At 41.8% G+C, this 22515-nt stretch overlaps 1 annotated feature.

The window, feature by feature from the left end:
* Positions 14503 to 15004: an enhancer, noted in NCBI's record as "NANOG hESC enhancer chr5:154428817-154429318 (GRCh37/hg19 assembly coordinates)". NCBI's record gives its function as "activates a minimal SCP1, AML or CMV promoter by ChIP-STARR-seq in primed H9 embryonic stem cells {active_cell/tissue: H9 hESC(primed)}" and the evidence as "EXISTENCE:reporter gene assay evidence [ECO:0000049][PMID:30033119]".

Here is a 22515-nt window from a genome sequence, read left to right as displayed (position 1 = left end):
AAGAAACAGTTGTGAAGTGACTAATAACTTAGATCTAGAATCAAATTGTGTCACTGTATTAGCTGAGATAAATTAGATCATGCTTCAGTGAAAAACAAAAAAAACACATCTTAGTGACTTAGCACAACAATTTTATTTCTCACTCACGAAGTCCACTATGGGTACAAATGATTCTCCAGGGCAACTGTTCTCCAGGTGATGCTCAGAGGCCCAAGTTAATGAAGGCGCCACCAGCCTGCAGAGTGCCATCTGTAGCACGGGGCCTTCTCAGTCAATGTGCAGAAGAAAGCTCCAGGGTGTCTTATGCAAGCAATTAAGTCCTTCATTCTACAAGTGATCCATATTATTTTGTTCACAGGTCATTGGCTAGACCCTGTCGCCAGCCCCACTTACCTGCAAAGAACTGCGCAATGTCATTTTTCCATATGCTTGGAAGGAGAGGAGAAGCACCTATGTGTGAGCACTAGCCATCTCTACTAAAATCGATTAAAATAAAACTATATTCTATAAAAATACTACTCCAATTTTTTAATGTTAAAAAGATCCATAGAAAAGAAAATCGCCTAAAAACTGTGAAGATGGCGTTCCTTCTCCTCTATCATTGAACACTATTCCCCAGCTAGAATTACAAAAATTTCTGATTAAACCCATATTACAGCCCAGCAGAGAGTAATTCCATTTGAAAGTTCAAAGTTTATGTATTTTGCACCCTCCACTATTAGGTAGAATGACCTTCAAAATCCAATTGAGCGTACAATTCTTACCAGAGGGCAATCGACAGTCCTTTGCAAAAGCCTTTTTAAAGAATATGCCTACTCTTTGACCCTATAATTTAACTTCTGTGATTTAACCTGAGGGGAAAAAAAAAAAAACACAGATGTGCACACAGATGTAACTGTGAAGATATTCTTTGCAGTCCATTTGTAACAGGAAAAGGTAAGAATTAACCTTAATGCAGCAAGAGTGTGTTGGCTCAATAAATTAAACCATATCCTCACCCTGAAATAACATGCAGCCATTAATAATCACATTGTGAAGGTGTATTTATTAAAGTGAAACGAGGTTTCTGGTACATTAAGTGGGGGGAAAAAGCAGGCTATCAAATGGTGTGTATACCACATATACCTGTGAAAGATTCTAGAAGAAAATATGTCAAGGAATTAGTAATGTTTGCTCTTGTGTGGGTGGGATTATGGGTGTTTTAATTTTCTCCTTTTAGCTAAACTATTATTTCCTACTATTATGAGTATTGTCTTTGAAATAAGAAAAACAAGGTAGTTTAAATTATAAATAAAGAATCTCGCCAGGCGCGGTGGCTCACACCTTTAATCCTAGCACTTTGGGAGGCCAAGGAGGGCAGATCACCTGAGGTCAGGAGTTCAAGACCAGCCTGACCAACATGGTGAAACCCCATCTCTACCAAAAATATAAAAATTAGCCAGGCATGGTAGCACATGCCTATAATCCCAGTCACTTGGGAGGCTGAGGCAGGAGAATTGCCTGAATCTGGGAGGCAGATGTTGCAGTGAGCCAAGATCGCGCCACTGCACTCCAGCCTGGGTGACAGAGCAAGACTCTCTCAAAAAAAAAAAAAAAAAAAAAAAAAGAATCTCTTTGGGCTTGTCACATATCCACTGCTCATAATGGGGCTTTTATCTTAGAAACTGACTACCAGAAATGGGGTTCTTCGTAGTCCTTACTCTTCACGTCACTACTGGTGACAATAATGGCAGGAGCATTTGTGAAAGACGGCACTTCCCAGGTCATAAGCCTGTTCACTTTCGCCAGCCTCCCACAACTGTAAGGGAAAGTAGTTCAAGTCTTAATACCCCCACCGCACAACTAAGGCTCAAAACCACTAAGTGACTTGCCCAAGAGAGGAGACAACACGAGGATCCAGGACTCTTCCAGGCTGTCGCTCTGTCCAACTCCAGAAAGAGTTCTGGGGTGCCGTTTACATATAATATAATGTGAAAAGCGTCCCACTGGACTTGTGCAGTGTCAGGTCCTGCTCAAAACCTTACTGGATAGCTGCAGCCCTCCTACACTAATGGGTCACCGTGTGCCAATGTGGAGTACAGGTAAGTAAGCAAATTAATAATCAATAGATATTTATTGAGTACTCCTATAAGTTAGCACTGTTGGGGCAGTGCTTTAGGCAACAAGGAGATATTTGAGGGTTCTAAGTAGCTGAATGATGTGATCAAAGCTATGTTTAGAAAGATAATTCTGGGGGAAATAAGAGTCAGTGGAGGTGAGCAAGATCAGATGAGACAAGGAGTAAAATGAGTCAGAAGGCTGCTACAATAATCCACACAGGAGAAATCAAATGTCTAAATAAGATGAAAGCACCTGAGTTATAGAAAGCATCAATGTCATCATCATTTTTATAATATTAGCAGTAGCTACTTTTATTGAGCACATATTATGCTCCAGATATTATGATAGTCGTTTATATAATGGCCCCATTCAATCTTCAGACTAACCCTATGAGGAAAGTACTATTATTATCCCTATTTCTGAGGTTAGGAAAGCAGGGCTCAGAAGTGCTAAGTCACCTGCCCAAGCTCACATAGCTAGTATGTGGCAATGGTTACAACTTAGGTACATGTAATTTAAAAGCTCATCCTCTGAGCCATCATGCTAAGAATAGAAAAGAAGGTGGTGGCTGGATGATGACAATGACAGAGGGAGATAAAAAGTTTAGTTCTGCTTATATACTGCTGGTCGGAGTGTAAATTAGTTCAACCATTGTGGAAAGCAGTGTGGCATTTCCTCAGAGACCTAAAAACAGAACTACCATTCAACCCAGCAATCCCATTACATGGTATATACCCAAAGGGATATAAATAATTCTACCATAAAGACACATGCACATGTATGTTCATTGCAGCACTATTCACAATAGCAAAGATATGGAATCAACCTAAATGCCCATCAATGACAGATTGGATAAAGAAAATGTGGTACATAGACACCATGGAATACTAGGCAGCCATAAAAAAGAATGAGATCATATCTTTTGCAGGAACATGGATGGAGCTGGAGGCCATTATTTTAAGCAAATGAACACAGGAACAAAAAAACACAAATCGCATGTTTTCACTCATAAGTGGAAGCTAAATGATGAGAACACATGGACACAAAGACAGGAAAAACAGACATGAGCCTAACAGAGGGAGAAGGGTGAGAGGAAGGAGAGGATCTGAAAAAAGTAATTATTGAGTATTAGGCTTAGTACATGAGTGATGACATGATTTGTACAACAAACCCCCATGACATGAGTTTACCTATATAATAAACCTTCACATGTACCCCTGAATCTAAAATAAAAGTTCAAACTTTTTGTATTTAATTTAAAAACAAAAGAGTTCAGTTCCAGAAATTTGGAGGGCCATGTAATATCCACATGAACATATCTAGTAGACATGGAGAAAGGCAAAGCTTGAAAGTGAATCATTGGGTATATCTAGAAAACCCCATTGTCTCAGCCCAAAATCTCCTTCAGCTGATAAGCAACTTCAGCAAAGTCTCAGGATACAAAATCAATGTACAAAAATCACAAGCATTCTTATACACCAATAACAGACAAACAGAGAGCCAAATCATGAGTGAATTCCCATTCACAATTGCTTCAAAGAGAATAAAATACTTAGGAATCCAACTTACAAGGGATGTGAAGGACCTCTTCAAGGAGAACTACAAACCACTGCTCAATGAAATAAAAGAGGATACAAACAAATGGAAGAACATTTCATGCTCATGGGTAGGAAGAATCAATATCGTGAAAATGGCCATACTGCCCAAGGGAATTTATAGATTCAATGCCATCCCCATCAAGCTACCAATGACTTTCTTCACAGAATTGGAAAAAACTACTTTAAAGTTCATATGGAACCAAAAAACAGCCCGCATCACCAAGTCAATCCTAAGCCAAAAGAACAAAGCTGGCGGCATCACACTACCTGACTTCAAACTATACTACAAGGCTACAGCAACCAAAACAGCATGGTATTGGTACCAAAACAGAGATATAGATCAATGGAACAGAACAGAGCCCTCAGAAATAATGCCACATATCTACAACTATCTGATCTTTGACAAACCTGAGAAAAACAAGCAATGGGGAAAGGATTCCCTGTTTAATAAATGGTACTGGGAAAACTGGCTAGCCATATGTAGAAAGCTGAAACTGGGTCCCTCCCTTACACCTTATACAAAAATTAATTCAAGATGGATTAAAGACTTAAATGTTAGACCTAAAACCACAAAAACCCTAGAAGAAAACCTAGGCATTACCATTCAGGACATAGGCATGGGCAAGGACTTCATGTCTAAAACATCAAAAGCAATGGCAACAAAAGCCAAAATTGACAAATGGGATCTAATTAAACTAAAGAGCTTCTGCACAGCTAAAGAAACTACCATCAGAGTGACCAAGCAACCTACAAAATGAGAGAAAATTTTCACAACCTAGTCATCTGACAAAGGGCTAATATCCAGAATCTACAATGAACTCAAACAAATTTACAAGAAAAAAACAAACAACCCCATCAAAAAGTGGGCAAAGGATATGAACAGACACTTCTCAAAAGAAGACATTTATGCAGCCAAAAGACACATGAAAAAATGTTCATTATCACTGGCCATCAGAGAAATGCAAATCAAAACCACAATGAGATACCATCTCACACCAGTTAGAATGGCAATCATTAAAAAGTCAGGAAACAACAGGTGCTGGAGAGGATGTGGAGAAATAGGAACACTTTTACACTGTTGGTGGGACTGTAAACTAGTTCAATCATTGTGGAAGTCAGTATGGCGATTCCTCAGGAATCTAGAACTAGAAATACCATTTGACCCAGCCATCCCATTACTGGGTATATACCCAAAGGACTATAAATCATGCTGCTATAAAGACACATGCACACGTACGTTTATTGCGGCATTATTCACAATAGCAAAGACTTGGAACCAACCCAAATGTCCGACAATGATAGACTGGATTAAGAAAATGTGGCACATATACACCATGGAATACTATGCAGCCATAACAATGATGAGTTCATGTCCTTTGTAGGGACATGGATGAAATTGGAAATCACCATTCTCAGTAAACTATCGCAAGGAGAAAAAACCAAACACCACATGTTCTCACTCATAGATGAGAATTGAACAATGAGAACACATGGACACAGGAAGGGAACATCACACTCTGGGGACTGTTGTGGGGTGGGGGGAGGGGGGAGGGATAGCATTAGGAGACATACCTAATGCTAAATGACGAGTTAATGGGTGCAGCACACCAGCATGGCACATGTATACATATGTAACTAACCTGCACATTGTGCACATGTACCCTAAAACTTAAAGTATAATAATAATTAAAAAAAAAAAAAGAAAAGAAAGTTAATCATTGGAAGCCACCAGTGAGTAGGTGAAAGCTGATTCCATGAGAATGAACAAGCTCATTGAGAGAACGCATGGAGCAGAGACAGCCTTGGATGAGACTCTAGGGACCCTCGAACTTTAAGGATAGGGAAGCATCTTCAAAAACACAACCAAGGCAGGAGAAAAATCAGGAAAGAATGGGGCCAAAAAAGAAAAAAAAACAGAGTGAAAAGAGTCTCAAAAAACAGAGAATGGACTCAGTGGTGTTAAACACTACATACTGAGTAATGACTGTTAGAATTAATAATTTCAAGCCCTCACTACATGCCAGGTACTGTTCTAACTGCTTTGGGTATATTACTTGACTTAATCCTCATAACAGTCTGCTGAGGTAGAATAGACACTATTACTACCCCCAGTTTACAGATATGAAAACTACCCTGCCCCAGGTACCATGGCCTGTAAGTGGTAGAGCCAGGATTCAAAGCCAGGCAGTCTAGCTCCAGAGCTGGTACTCATAGCCTCCACACTGTATTGCCTTCCTCACCAATGTCTAACACTTTTTGAGTACTCAACATATGCCAGACACTGTTCTAAATGCTGACTAATTTAATCCTCCAACAACTTTTTTAGTAGGTGTCATTATTATTCCTATTGGACAGATGGGGAAACTGAGTCACAGAACAGTTTCCCAGGATCACATAGCTAGTGGAACCATGTAGGGATAGTAGATCCCTCCATAAGGAAATTAAAGAATTGTCAATCAGCACTTGGTGAATGAAGGCAATCTACTTTAGAATCAAGAATCCTAACCAAAGTGAAAGGTGGAAATAAAAACTCAGAGTTCAATGGAAACTAGAAAATCATAAAGCTTTGGAGTTGGAAGGGGCCTGGGATATGCATCAATGCTATTCACTAAATGCCAGCATGGTAGCATTGTGCTTTCTGGCCCCCTGTGATTGTGTGAGGCCATAGGACTCATTGGCCACATCCAATGTGTTGTGAGAGGACATGGCATATGTCACTGCCAGGCCAGTTGATTGCCAATGGGAGACCTTCCAGAACATTCTTTCCCTCTGCCACAGCAATCTGTAGCAATGGAAATGGTGGCTGCTCCATCAGCCTGAGTCCCAGAGAACACGGAAGTGAGCTCTCAGCTGATTCACAGCAGACATGTGGCATGAATGAGAAGTAAAGCTTGGAGACATAAGTTACTATGATGGCTGTGCTGGCTGATACAAAGCCTTAAACATGACCAGAATGGGGAAACTGAGAACCTAAAAGGAAAGAGACCTGCTCAATGTCACAGAGCTGGCAACCTAGAGGCACTGAGGGCAAGAATCCAACTCTCTGGCATTCCATCCAGTTATCTTCCTTCTATACCTCACTGAGCATCTCGCATATCTTGCAACTCATTCCCCCTTCTAACCCACAGCACATTCAGTTTCTGTATATTAATGCAAAGGCCGAATTAAACTAATCATTGCCTAAATTTTACAAACTGTCTCCTAGTGCAATGCACTCAGAACTCAATTTTCTGAAGAGGTACAGGAAGAAGGTACAGGGGTCTGGAGGGGTGTGGGGAGGAAAACTTTGTCCTATTATTTGTAGAATCAAGGCTAATTTAATTGAGTTTTGACAGAAAGTGCTCCATTTTGCAGACAGTTGCCACCCGTTTCTCCTGAAGCCTGGATCTCGTCATAGAAACTGACTCCGCTCCATCTTCCTCTTTGATGTATGAGGCTATAAAACAGGGAGTGAGCAAGTCACCTTCGAAGAGGCCTTTCGTCACTGCAATAACTAGAAGTAATTTATGGGCTCCTGGAATCGTGCGTTCTCTGTTTCTGACTCGGCAAGAGACTGAAATCACAATCTGGATGCTGGCAGTCAATTGGAAGGTCAAAAAGACTCTGAAAGGTATCAGCCTTCTAGAATCTAGGATGAAGAAACATCAGTGTCCACATTCAGTGATGAGATCATCAGCAAAGGTTTTAGACAGAGGCTACCTTTTAGGTATTGGGATTTAATTCACCTTTGTGGGGGTGTCCTAGAACAGCCTGCTCTATCCTGGCCACCATCCAAGTCCTCCCCTCCTTCAGGGCCCAGTTTAACTCCTGCTTCTACTAGGAAGCCCTCCCTGCCTACCCTAGCCTATGATATGTATTATGTGCTCTGACTTTACAATTCTTTTGGCACTTGTCACATTCTCCCTTGATATACATTCTTTATGTTTGCACATCTAGAATCTATACATCAGGTTTCTGTAGCAATAGGTTTCATCTCATGAGCTGACTCTGATCAATTAGTAGTGGCTTGCTAGAGTGCTATGACAAGAATTCTACAGCTGTAGGCTGGACGTAGTGGTTCATGCCCATAATCCCAGCAATTTGGGAGGCCAAGCGGGGAGGATTGCTTGAGTCCAGGAGTTTGAGACCAGCCTAGGCAACATAATGAGACCCGGTTTCTACAAAGTACAAATAAAAAAATTAGCCAGGGCCGGGCATGGTGGCTCATGCCTGTAATCCTAGCACTTTGGGAGGCTGAGGCGGGTGGATTATCTGAGGTCAGGATTATCAGATTATCTGAGCCTGGCCAACATGGCGAAACCCCGTCTCTACTAAATATACAAAAATTAGCCAGGAGTGATGGCAGGTACCTATAATCCCAGCTATTCGGGAGGCTGAGGCAGGAGAATCACTTGAAGCCAGGGGGGCAGAGGTTGCAGTGAGCCAAGATCGCACCACTTCACTCCAGCCTGGGCGAAAGAGCAAACCTCTGTCTCAAAAAAAAAAAAAAAAAAAAAAAAATTAGCCAGGCATGGTGGTGCATGACTATAGTCGCAGCTACTCAGGAGGCTGATGTAGGAGGATTGCTCGAGCCCAGAAGGTCAAGGCTGCAGTGAGAGGTTGGGCGACAGAATTAGACCTATCTCAAAACTAAAAATAAAAATAAAAAATTCTGCAGCTCTGCAGCTATATCTGAGTTCAACAGTTAAAAGTGCAGTGACTGACCAGCAAGTTCTGAGATGGGCATGCGAGGTAAAAAAAGGACGTGAAAGGCATGTGTTTGCCTTCTATATGCTGTAAGCACTAAGTTATTTGAAAATAGGGTCCATCACTTACACTTACTTTTATTCCTATGAACATTTACATAAGCATTCTCAAAAAGTATTTGAATGCTCAAAATTTATTTGATAAGTAAACATCTCCCTTTGCAAAAATGACCTAACTCTAATGCATCATGTGTTCTAATTATGATTCGTTCAAACAGTCCTTAACACACCTACGTGTAGAGCTGACTCCCATCAGAAATTTTTCAAAGCTAGTTTTATGTGAGAAATGGCTTTTGACACATTTGGCACTTTAACGTTTCTGAATCTTAAAACATCCGTGCTTAATAACTCCTTGTCTGCAGTTAGCAGTGATTTTCAGAATTTTTGTATCTATTACCTCATTTGACTACTATGTGACCTTCAAGAGGTAAAATGTTATCCCTGTTGTACAGATTTGAAACCACTTGTTCAGAGTAGCAGAATAATAGGTCAGGACCAAAGGAGGTAACCCCACAAACATTTACCAGTTCTGCATAAAGTAAAATAAGCTGTTACAGTTTAGGCCGGTGTTTCCCGAAGTTTTTTTCCACAGAACATTAGGATGTCAATAGGGCCACTGCATGTGTTTTTGTGGTCAAATAAGTTTGGAAAACATTAACAGGTTTCCCTACAGTAGGACGTCTCAGAGCTCTTACGACACTAACGTACTTGGTGAACTCTATAGAGGCCCCACAACGTGGGCCCATATAAATATTCCCCCAAAGGTTCTGTAGAACACAGGTAATTTTTTTCTAAAGTTAGCAGCAGGGGTACCAGAAGAATGGCAGAGTGGTTAAGAGCCTAGGCTCTAAAATTCAACTGGTATCGAGCTCTGGCCCCAACACTTACTGGTTTTGTGGCTATGAATAAGTCACAGAATCCCCAGCCTCGCTCCCTCCCCTGTAACATGCAGATTCAAACGGCCACTCCTGGGGTTGTCGTGAGGATTAAGTGAGACAAGGCAAGTAGAGTGTCTAGCTGATCGTAAGCACTCAATAAATGTTAGCTGGTATTTCTGCCAATGAGGAAGAAAGTCAGAGTGGGATCTAAAAATAAAATAAAATGCACAGGTTGGGCTGAGAAGCCCATTCTGAGTTTATTACATAGGAGATTTACTGATGAGTGCTCTTGGGTCAACACCTATGGAAGGGAGGGGACAGAAGAGACAGAAAATGAAGCTGTGATCCAGCTCAATGACAGCCAACCCCACAAAGAGGTGTAGAGCTAGATTAGCCCTTCAGAATTGTCCTTGGTTGGGCTGAGAAGGCCAGCTCTTTACAACCCCACATGGATGAGTCGATGGATATTGGACACCCCAGGAAAGGCTGACCTTGGGCGAGACAGCTCTCTGCAACTTAGGCAATTCCTCAAGGGGCTACCACCATTCTCAGAAGCCAGGACAATAAGTCTCTTACCCAAGGAGAGTCTGAACAGTGCAGACGTACAATGTCCTGCACTGCAGCAGTGCATACTGCTTCCACCACACCAAAAAAAAAAAAAAAAAGCAAAAGCTTCCTCCGACCCTCTGGGAAGGAAACAGGGCAGTCTGCAGACAGCAACCAAATCTAGTCATTTATTCATTCATCATTTATTAATGCCTACCATATGCCAGGCCCTGAGGCTTGGGGCTTATGAATCAGGTACTGATTCTATAGCAATTGTAATAGAAATGTTTTCTCTTTACTCTTTAAGGCATGAAAATACAGATAGGGAAACAGAGAAGGAAGAGATATCAAATCACTAGAAGACAGGATATATTCTCAGGTGATCAGTCACCTGTCATCCCAGTATGAAAAGTTGCTAATTTGAATGACGAAAGGAACACAGCATTTTTTTTCCCCACAGCAATACATCAAGTTGTTCTCTCAATGACTTAGTGTGCTTGGCAAACTGTGTACGCTGCACAAAATTGAATTCCCAGGTTTAGGGAAGCCTGAGCAGGCTCGAGGTACATGAGGATTTATTGCTTTAAGTACTTAAAATGCCTCCCACTAAATTTGCTGTGACCTTCTCCCCCTGCCTATGGCCCCAAGTTAACCACAGCCTAGGACTGAGCAAAGGTTAACAACACACCAAATAAAACAAATCAGCCCCAAGGAGACAGGTCCCTGCTTCACAGAGGCAATAGAGCCAAGTCCTTCTTGTCCCTGGAAGGGTTGGCTGCATTCCTCTCTCTTCCACGTCATTCCTCAGTGCCTGCCCGCCCTCCATCCTCTTCTCCTCTTGTCACTTAACATATTCTTCAGAGTGGCCCCCCAAGCACTGTTTTCCTGTAGCAGAACTCTTGTTTTTCCCACTGATCTTCTCATTTGTTTGTGTTGTTGGGGATCAGGACACAGCACCCCAAAACATGACCAGAATATATCAACCCAAAATATGCCTGTGTAACATAAGGATTATTGTGAACTGATTATTTGTGGGGAAAGCAGGCATAGGAGAAGTTCTGCAAACAAGAGAAGTTGTCCTTTTTTAAGAGAAATTTGCATCTATAAAGGAGATCTCTATTTTAAGGGTATCTCCCTCTCTGCCCCAGGAAGAGAGAGATTACTAAATCACTAGATTCTCTTATCAATGGGGAAGGTGTCACTTAAGTCTGTATAACAAACCTTGCCCTTGTTAACAGTGCTTTTCCTGCCCTTTCCCATACCTTTCTTTTTTTGTTGGGGGGCCAGCAGGTGAGTGGGGAGGTATGATGGTATTTAAGCCTGAACCCTCAGACAATTCTTTGAGATCTACTCTTGAGATTTTGCTCTGAGATGTCCCTGAATATCTCCCCTGTACAGAGGAGGTATACATGTTATTAGACTTCTCTTCATTTTACTCTTGTTTATCTGTCTTTTGTTACAGGGAATCCCAACTAAGAACAATGGAAGGTAGAAAGAAAATTATTTTTCCTCCCCTACAAGATCTTGTCAAGACGCCAACAAACTACTCTGCTTCTAATGTTTCACATTTGCATAGCACACTACAATTTACAACCTGCTTCTGGGCCTCACAACTGGCCAAGAGGCAGGCACTGCAGAAATGACTATCTCCACTCCGGAAGTGAGGGCCCTGAGAGGCAAAGTGACTTGCCCAAGGTCACAGAGCAAAAAGGCAGGACTTAAGCCAGGCCCTCTGTGCCACAAACTAGACCCACGCACTGCCTGTCAGCCAAAGAGACTAAGTCACATATTGGCAGTGTACCTTACACTTAGTAGGACAATTGATCAAGGTCACAGACTTGGAAAGAAATTGCCCGGGGATCCACAGTGTGGATATCCAGCTTCCCAGAGGGGATGCTTGTCTACATTTATGTGCAAATATCCAACTTGAGCACACCTGCAGAATCCAAGGTTTCTTCTTCCTCTTTGTATTACTACCAAGCCAAAGAAACAAATTAAAATTTGGAAAAAAACAACAGACATTTTTAGCTTCACTGTCCCAGGTGCTAATGGAAAAACAAGACTCTCTTAAAAAAAATCAATTAAAAAAAAAAATCTTTGAGACAAGGTCTTGCTGTGTCACCCAGGCTGGAGTACAGTGGCACGATCATGACTGTGCAACCTCAACCTCCTGGCACGAGCAATCCTCCTGCCTCAGCCTCCCGAGTAGCAGGATTACAGGCATGCACCACCACACCCAGCTACATTTTGTATTTTTTGTAGAGATGGGGTTTCACCATGTTGCCCAGGGTGGTATTGAGCTCCTGAGCTCAAGCGATCCACCCACCTCAGCAACCCAAGGTGCTAGGATTACAGGCGTGAGCCATCATGCCCAGCCTCTGTAAAATATGTCAAAGAGGTTTATTCTGAACCAATATGAGTGACATGGCCCAGGGAACACACTCTCAAGAGGTCCTGAGAAAGCGTGCCCATAGCAATTGGATTACGGTTTGGTTTTATACACTTTAGATAGGCAGAAGTTATAGGTAAAGACACAAATCAATAAATGAAAGGTATACCTTGGTTCAGCCTAGAAAAGTGGGATATCCTGAAGGGGAGGCAGGGTTATAGGTTGTATGTGGATTCAGAGATTCTTTAATTTGCAATTGGTTAAAGGAGTAAAACTTTGTCTAAAAATTTGAAGTCAACAAAAAGGAACGTTTTAGGTTATAATAAGGAAGTCTACTAACCAACATACTGAGTCAGAGAGACCTGTAGGAGTGTGTGACTTAACCATTGTCTGGATGGCCTTAGATCCTGATTATAATTTGGTATCTTATTGTCACAAAGAGTCCATTTTATTAGCCTTAGGATTAATGCTGGCTGGGCGCGGTGGCTCACACCTATAATCCGAGCACTTTGGGAGGCCGAATTGGGCGGATCACCTGAGGTCGGGAGTTCGAGACCAGCCTGACCAACATGAAGAAACCCGTCTCTACTAAAAATACAAAATTAGCCGGGCGTGATGGCGCATGCCTATAATCCCAGCTACTTGGGAGGCTGAGGCAGGAGAGTCACTTGAACCTGGGAGGCGGAGGTTGCAGTGAGCCAAGATCCCGCCATTGCACTCCTGCCTGGGCAACAAGAGCAAAACTCCATCTCAAAAAAAAAAAAAAAAGAAAAAGAAAAAAAATTAATTCTGGTCAGTTGTGCCTAAACTCCAAAAGGGAGGGGCTATAACAAGGTATGTCTGACCTACCTATCACGACTGGGAATTTCATGTTTAAAGTTTTTCTGGGGTCCCCTTAGCCAGATGGGGGTCTGTTCAGTCGGTGGAAGACTTAGGATTTTATTTTTAATCTACAAAAGTGAGTTTAGAAAATTATGGTCCTCCAAGCTTAATTTTTTTTCTTGTGAATCGGAAGTTCTTGTTTTAAAATTTTCCCAGGCAAACTTCTAAGAAGAAGCCTTTGGCGAGTGTTCACTCTGCGCCTTTTGTTTCACTCGACAAATACTTACAGAGAACCTGTGGTGGGCCAGGCACTGTGCTAAATGCTGAGGACACAGCAGAGGAAAGGCAGGCAGATTCCTACCCTCAGGGAATCTTACAGTCTGGCAGGATAATGTGGTCATTAAAAAGGGAAGTACAATGCAGAATTCATAAACATTACTGTTTGTAACTCTGTTGGTGGGAGTTAAAAATAATACAGTCTTTTTGAAAGGCAATTTGGCAGTAGCTATCAAAATTGTAAATGTATATAACTTAGGAGCCAGCAGATGCAAAAGTAAAACAAAGCAACCTTAAAAAAAGTAGATATTAAAACAAAGCATAAAGTTATGGGTAAAAAAAAATTCATTGCAACATCATTTATAATAGCAACAAGAAAAATAGCAGGAAGGAAGGGAAGGAAGGAAGGAAGGAAGGAAGGAAGGAAGGAAGGAAGGAAGGAAGGGGAAAGAGGTATTAAAAGACGCAGTTTATTTGAGCATTTAACCATTCATAAACTGGGCAGCACCAGACCATAAGCAGTTCATGCCTCCACCAAGGGGGTGGGAGAGAAAATTTTTATTAGGTGTTTGAGGAAATAAGACAAAGATAATATTTGATTGGTCAAAGTGGAAAGTCTCTAGTTAGAGGTTAGCTCCATGCAGTTTCTCTTTAAAGGGTCTTAATCCTGCTAATAAGGGAGCAGCTCTCATGGCCCAATCACCTCTTACAGGCCCCACCTCTTAATACAATCACATTACAACACCTACATTTTAGAGGGGACACATTCAGACCATAACAGCCTTTCCACTCAACACTTTCAGGCCCAGCAACCAGTCTTGCTTCTGAGACAAGAACTCCCTGCAAAGCCATCTCTGTCTCCCTCCAATAAAACTGGCTGAGCCACATTTTTCTCTTGCTGCTCGCCAGGGGGCAGGATGTAGGACCTCACTCTGCAGATCCACAAACTTCACTGCTCTCATCCTCTCCACCTGTGCTCTCCTCCCTATATCATGGGGAATCTTTCTAACCTGGATGGGGCTGTGGGGAGTTGTAAATCCCTCTGTTTCCTCCAAACTCCACCAAAGTCAATCAATGAAAGGACAAAAAGCCTAGAAGTCCCAGCCTCTCTGTGGTGAGGAAGTGCAGTGCAGGACAGACTAGGGTGCAATGCTGAGATGGAAAGAAGGAAAAACATAAGGAAAAAAAGAGGATCCTAATGCACCACAGGTAACACTGTAGCCTGGTGGCTACAGGTTTGGTTCTTGGTATATGATTGTCTGGGCCTGAATCTCCACTCTACCACTCACTAAAATTGGTCAAACTATTTCACTTTTCTTTAAGGATAATTGTATCTACCTCAGGGGGCCATTGTGGAAATTAATGCAAAGGAACAGCAGATTCTGAATCAATCATCCTTCCTTTCTTCCACTTACAACTTAAGACTGCAATTTGACATTGGTCCATTGTGATTCAATTCAGGGTGCTTTGCCCCCCACCCTCCATCTTAAGGTGGGAAATGTCAATTGTCCAAGAAAGAGCCTCATGCTGACATCACTTATCCTCTGAAGGATGAAGGACAGAGAGCAGTGTCACCCTCTATAGCTCAGCTTCTGTAAGGAATGTTCAAGTTAACATCCTTAAGGAATTATAACTTTTCCCAAGGCTGAAAGAAGCGATGGTTGGAGCTTATGGCAGTATCACTCAAAGCCTCCTTAGGGTTTAATCTCAAAGACCTTGCTCACAGAAGTCTTCACAGGCATGTATCCTTTGAACCCTTGAACCAAGGGGCAAGCCTCTCCTAAAAACAGAAGAAGGCAGTGGTTTTCCCAGCTTTAAAGTGCATCAAAATCACTGGGAGGGCTTTTTGAAATAACCTGCTGGGCCCCACCCCACACAGCATCTGATTCTGTACATCTCGGGTAGGCCCCATGAATTTACATTTCTAACAAGTTCCCAGGTAACAGTGTTGACAGTGTTGATGGAAGACCAATCTGAGAACCTCTAGGCTGGGGAGACATACAGCTCAACAGAGAGGACCAGCGGGAACTCTAGACTAAGACAAGGGATTTGCATATGTAACTCGTTCCCCCTGGGGTAAGCTTACAAATCTCTTACATGAAAGAGTGCAATGATACCTTGTTCAAGATACAAGATATAGGGGTCTTACATTTATTATTAACACTCATTATTCCCATTAGAATGGAAAACGTTACATGACTGATGGAAACTTTCAGGCCTCATTGGAAAGAATTTTCTAAAAATCCCTCAAATCCTACTCCAGTATTATCCATGTGGACAGGACCAGGGAATCCATCAGTTCTGTAATTTCTACATACACATTTCTTCCCACCCACCCCTTCTGCAGATCCCACCCATCCCTTCTTCCACAGACTCAGCTGGGCAAGGCAGCCACTGAAATGCACGTATGGCAGCTCAAAAGCCCTTTCTGTAGAAACCCACACCCCCTCATCCACGGGAGAGACAGGGAGCCACTATGTGACCCTGCTCCCTACCATTTCTGATTAGACAAGGAATGGATACCTGACGCAAGCTCAGCCAATCAGATTTACTCCTGGAAATTTGAAATTGAGATTCAGAGATATCCACTCAGTATTTGAAATTGGCTGGACTAATAATTGTGAGGTGGACAGAATTCACCTGATAGTCTGAAGAACAGAGGAAACTACAGAGAAAAAAGAACAAAGTAACTGTGAATCGGTGGAGAGAGAAGGTAAGTGTGTCCTCATGGCATTCCAGACGCTGATTATATTTCTTCCTGAGGCCTTTCTGGAGCCTTCCTTCTCCCCACCCTTGGGTTCTGATAGGATTTGGCTCTGTGTCCCTACCCAACCTCATCTCGAAGTGTAATCTCCACGTGTCAAGGGAGGGACCTGATGGGAGATGATTGGATCATGGGGGCGGAATTCCCCCTTGCTGTTCTCATGACAATGAATGAATTCTCAGAAGATCTGGTTGTTTGCTAAGTGTCTGGGCTTCCCTGCTCTCTCTCTCCTGCCACCACGTAGGAAACGCCTTGCTTCCCTTTTGCCTTCCGCCATGATTGTAAGTTTCCTGAGGCCTCCCCAGCCATGTAGAACTGTCAGTTAAACCTCTTTTGTTTATAAATTACCCAATCTCAGGTAGTATCTTTATAGTAGTGTGAGAATAGACTAATACAGGTTTTATGTGACATTTTATGTCTTTATTATTATTTTCCGTTTTCTATTTAAGCTAGTGGTTTCACTCACTTTTTCAGTCATCAGCTGTTTATTGAGCATGCTCTCTGAGCCAGGTGCTGCCCCTGGTGCTGGAGAAACCATAGAGTTTACCTGCGACCACTTGTGTTACCTGCAACTAGGACAACTAGTATAGCCACTTACACCTACCATAATGTAAAGAAATGCACGCACAGAAAGAAAAGTTGTAGAAAAACATATATAATTTATTGAACACCTACTATGTGCCAGGCACCCTGCTAAGTGCTTTACATGCATCTTCTCTCACAACAACCCTATGAGGCAGGTACTATTATCTGCATTTCCTTAAGAACACACAGGATTCAAACATATGTAGCCTAATCCCTCAGAACCACTAAAAGGCAAGAGAGTGGAAAAGATCTAGAATCATGGTAACGGTGAGGGAAAATACAGACACACACTCACACTCATGCTCACACTCACACAGAATTCAGGCCTGGCTATATCAGCACACACTCAGGCATCCTGTTGTTCTCTGTCAGGCACTGTCTTTTCAGCTCCTCTCCATTCCTAAAAGTAGGGGGGAAAAATCAACATCTCCTTCTTTAGAAATCATCTTGAGAAGTAATTGGTCTCGATAATACTTTAATTGGACAAGAGTCTTCAAATTTGGCCTCCTGAGCACAGCAGGAATGCATTTCTATCTGCCTTTGAGAAAATGTGCCCATCTTGGATTGCCTAAGAATGCTCTTAAGGTAATGCCAGAGAATCCCCTTAAATGTTCCTCACCAGCAGGTCAGCACTTACCCACCGGATGCCTCTTCAGGATCCCCATTCAGGTTCCCTTTCAGTTTTGTTCCAGCCTACTCCCTGCCAGGTGCAGGAGAGCAGGGAGCAGCTCTGGCTCAGGTGGACAGAGCTGTGAATGGTTCCTGCCAGCAACCCCCTACCTCCTCAGGGCAAACAAAGCACTCAGAAGCCTGCCAGGGCTTCAAGGCTGTAGAGCCTGGGGAGAAACAGGATTCTAAAAGGCGAAGGCATTCCAGCAAGAGAGAACTGGGGAAGCAGGGTTCCCAGACCCATTCAAACCACATGCAGCTCAGCTTCCTCATCTGTAAAGTTAGGATTCCCAAATATGCCCTGCCTAGAAACAGACACCACTTACTGAGCATTTTTTATGTGCCAGGCACTACACTACACATGTTTGCACATGATTTTTAAAGAACCCCATTTGGCAGGAATAACTGTCTCCATTTTATAAAAGGCAAAACTGAGGTTCCAAAAGGTAAAGCTGGTTCAAGAGCCAGTCCTGGTTCACATGGTTAGCAAATGGCTGAAATGTTACTTCCTAAATCCCATGCTCTTAGCTACCAGCTGGCTTCCTTTGGCTTCTGTTTAGGAAGATAGAACTGGTAGTGAGGAAAAAAAAATGGCAGAGCCACCAGAATGTCTTCATAATTTGCCAGCATCAAGCCCTATCTAGCTGGAACTCCACTTCCTCACCTCCCCCACCCCACCTGCGAATTATCTCCCAACCCAGCTGAAGACTTTCTGGACCATTTTCAGGATCTTAAGACAAGAGGTTTAGTCCCTGAAGGCCTCGGCTGCCACCCAGCCCAGCAATGACACTGGGCTCTGAAAAAAAATGTACCAACAAACACATATCCCATCATCATGGCTAGAGATTTTTAAAAACAGAAATCTGAGATGTGCTGAGGGAATTGGGGAGTGGGAAGTGGTATCAGAATTTAGGCTTCAAATGCTTCTCTAAAGAGCAATAGGAAATGTTTGTCTTAAAGGCCTAGAGAATGGAACTGTATGATACATTTGGGGTCATGATAAATTTGGGATCACAACTTTGAAACCTTTCCTGTCTCCTCATCCTTTCTACTGGAAAGAGTCGTTCACATTCTTCCTTGTTTCTTGCTTTGCCCTCACACAAGTTGCAGGGTGAGCTCCTTCTTTTCTCTTGTCCTTCCTGAATTCTCAAAATTCTCAGCAGAAGAAAACAAGAAAAGCACACAGCCAAACATCCAGTCCTCTGTGAGAAAAGAAATCCTCACACATCTCAGAAATTGAAAGATATTCTTTTATCCCACATCAGATCAGATATGTTTTCAGTTGCAGAAGAGAACAACCAATAACTTAGGACCTATCAACAAAGAGAGTCAAACTCCGGAAAATATGTAAAGAGATTTATTCTTAGCCAAATGTGAGGATCATGACCTGTAACATAGCCCCAGGAGGTCCTGAGAACCCAGGGTGATTGGGTTACAACTTGATTTTATACATTTTAGGGGGGACAGAAGTTACAGACAGACATCAATCACTATGTGTAAGGTGCACATTGGTTTGGTCCAGAAAGGTGGGACAACGCAAAGTAGCGGGGAGGGAGCAGTGTTCAGGTCATATTTAGATTCTAAAGTTTTCTGATTGGCAACTGATTGAAAGGGTTAACTTATTATCTAAAGACATGGAATCAATAGAAAGGAGTGTCTGGGTTAAGATAAGGGGTTGTGGAGACCAAGATTCTTATTATGTAGATGAAGCCTCCAGGTAACCAGCTTTAGAGCTCTTATCAGACCTAAAAAGGTGCCAGGCTCCTAGTTAATTCTCTCCTGGATCAGAGAGAAGACCTGGAAAGGGAAGAGGATTCTCTACAGAATGTTGATTTCCCCACAAGAGACAGCTTTGCAGGGCCATTTCAAAATATGTCAAAGAAATACATTTTGGGGTAAAACACTTCATTTCCTTTCAGTGCCTGCTATTTGTCATGTGATGCTATACTAGAGTCAGGTTGGAATTTGGTACCTTATTGCTACAAAGAGTCTGTTTTGTCAGTCCTAAGATTTCTCTTTCAATGTTAATGCTGGTCACTTGTGCCTAAACTCCAAAGGGAAGAGGGTATAATGAGGCATGCTCTACCCCCACTTCCCAGCATGGCCTGAACTAGTTTTTCAAGTTTACTTTGGAATGCCCTTGGTGGAGAGTGGGGGTCCATTCAGTCAGCTGGGGATTTAGAATTTTATTTTTTATTTACAAACCAATTGTAACTCAGCTGTCAGCTGGAGCCTCTCTGTCCTTGTCATACAGAGAAAATAGAATGTAAGCTCTTTTAGAGCAGGCATTTTTGTCTGTTTTTCCCTCTGCTCTATCCCCAGTGCCTAGAATAGTGCTGATATGGTTTGGCTGTGTCCCCACCCAAATCTCATCTTGAATTGTAGCTCCCATAATTCCCATGTGTCATGGAAGGGACCCAGTGAGAGGTAATCGAATCATAGGGGTGGGTCTTTCCTGTGCTGTTCTTGTGATAGTGAATAAGTCTCATGAGATCTGATGGTTTTATAAAGAGAAGTTCCCTACATAAGCTCTCTTGCCTGCTGCCATGTAAGATGTAACTTTGCTCCTCATCTGCCTTCCGCCACGATTACGAGGCCTCCCCAGCCATGTGGAACTGTGAGTCAATTAACCCTCTTTCCTTTATAAATTACCCAGTCTCAGGTATGTTTTTATTCGCGGCATGAGAACAGATTAATACAAGTGCGTAACACATTGTAGGTATTCAATACTCATGCATGCACGTACACATATCATATCCTCTGTGGTAGGCAGACTTATAAGATGGCCCCCAGTGTTTCTCATTTTCTAGTGTGGAAGTTCAAAAATTATTGACATGAGACAGATTAGTGGGAAAAAAAGGCATGCAAATTTATGTAATATGTATACATGGGAGCCTTTGAAATGAAGACCCGACCCCTCAATGAGGTACAGAAGCTTGTATACCATCTTGAGGTCACAGAAAGAATGCAGGTTCAGATGATAGCCAAAAATAAGTTATGTTGATGAATCAGGTTTTAGTGGGAAGATAGATTATGAAATGGGGAGAAGAGGAGGCTTTGCTAACAAAAGTGGTCTTGTTATGTAGGTGAAACCTCAGACAGAAAAGGTGGTAAATATTTATTTTCACACTTCTAAAGGTATGAGACTCTCAGTTAATCTTTCCTAGATCTGGACCAAGGTAGGGCAGACTGCCTTAATACAGAGTCTCCACAGATCTACAGATGCAAATTCCCTCCACAAAAGACAGCTTTTCAGGTCCACTTCAGAATAAGTCAAAAAAAAATATTTGGTGGTAAAATATTTTTATTTCCTTCACTAGCATTTACACTTTTGTGTAATTATCCCTTCCCTTGAGTGTGGACTTTGCCTAGTGACATACTTCTGACTAAAAGAATATGGCAAAGATGATGGGATGTCACTTCCATTATTGATTAGATCACAAAAGATGGTGATTTCTGTCTTGCTAGCAAACTCTCTTGTTGGCTTTGATGAAGAAAGATGCCACATGCCCGAGAAGCCCACATGGCAAGAGACTGAGGCAGTCTTCAACTAACAGTCAGTGAGGAAATGGGGTTTTCAGTCCAACAGCCCTCGGTAACCTGAATTTTGCCAACAACCATGTAAATGAGCTTGGAATCAAACCCTTCCAGGAGAAAGGGAATGGAGCTATGCAAAAGCAAAGTTTTGTACGTTATTTAATTTAAGTTTGTATTAGTCCAAGCTAGACTGTTATAAATTAAGATGTTAATTGTAATCTCCAGAGACACCACCAAAAAAATTCAAAAATATAATCAAAGAAACAAGATGATAATTTAAAAGGTATTGAAAAAAATCTATATATAACACTAAAGAGGGCAGTAACTGAGGGACAGAAGAATGAAAATATATAGATTTATAGAAAACAAATAGTAAAATTGCAGATACGAATCTACCTTCTCAGTAATTAAATTTAATGGAAATGGATCAAGCACTCCAATTAAAAAGCAGAGCCAGGAAGAGTAGGGTGCACCTGCAATCCCAGCTACTCGGGAGGCTGAGGCAGGAGGATCGCTTGAGCCCAGGGATTCAGCAATATAGTGCATAGTGATTGTACCCTGGAATAGCCACTGCACTCCAGCCTGGCAATATAGCAAGACCTCGCCTCCAAAAATAAAAGCAGAGATTGGCAGAATAGATTTTTTAAATGATCCAACCATATGCTGCCTATAGGAGACGCATTTGAGATTCAAAAACACAAATAGGTTGAAAGTAAAAAGACTGGAAAAGATATATATATACTATGCAAACAGTAATTGAAAGAGAGCTGGAATGGTTATACTATATTATACAAACTAGATCAGTGGAAAACAATTGTTACTAGAGACAAAGAAAGATATTTTATAATTTTTAGGTCACCCATCTAGAATATGTAACAATTATAGAAATATATACACCTAACAACAAAGCCCCAAAATGCATTAATAAAAAACTGACAGAATTGAAGGGAGAAAAAAGCAATGCAAAAGAGACTTAAGAGACATATCAAACAAATGCAATTCAATGCATGTACCTTATTTGAGTCCTGATTCAGATAAACGAAATGTGAACACTGACTGGATATTTAATGATACTAAGAAATTACTGGGCTTTTTAGGTATGATAGAGGCATTGTGGATATGTCTAGAAAGAACGCCTCCTTTCTTTTAGAAGTACACTCGAAGATTTTTAGATAATTTTATATTATATCTGCAATTTTCTTCAAAAAATCTGAGAGAAGGAGATGGAGTGTGAGGAAATAAATAAAACAAGATTAGTCATAAATTGGTAATTAATGTTGCAGAATGATGGGTGCATGGCAGTACATTTTATTATTCTTCTTTTATATATATACATCTTGAAATTTTTTCATAATAAACGGCTATTTATTTATTTAGAGACAGGATCTTCTTCTGTTGCTCAGGCTGGAGTATGGTGGTATGATTTTGGCTCACTACAACCTCCACCTCCCAGGCTCAAGCCGTCCTCCCACCTTAGCCTCCCAAGTAGCTGGACTACAGGTGCCCGCCACCACACCTGGCTAATTTTTTGTATTTTTAGTAGAGATGGGGTTTCACCATGTTACCCAGGCTGGTCTTGAACTCCTGGCTCAAGTGATCCACCCAC

This window comes from Homo sapiens, chromosome 5, assembly GCF_000001405.40.
Source record: "Homo sapiens chromosome 5, GRCh38.p14 Primary Assembly".
Lineage (NCBI taxonomy): Eukaryota > Metazoa > Chordata > Mammalia > Primates > Hominidae > Homo > Homo sapiens.
This window is presented reverse-complemented; position numbering and strand designations above follow the sequence as displayed.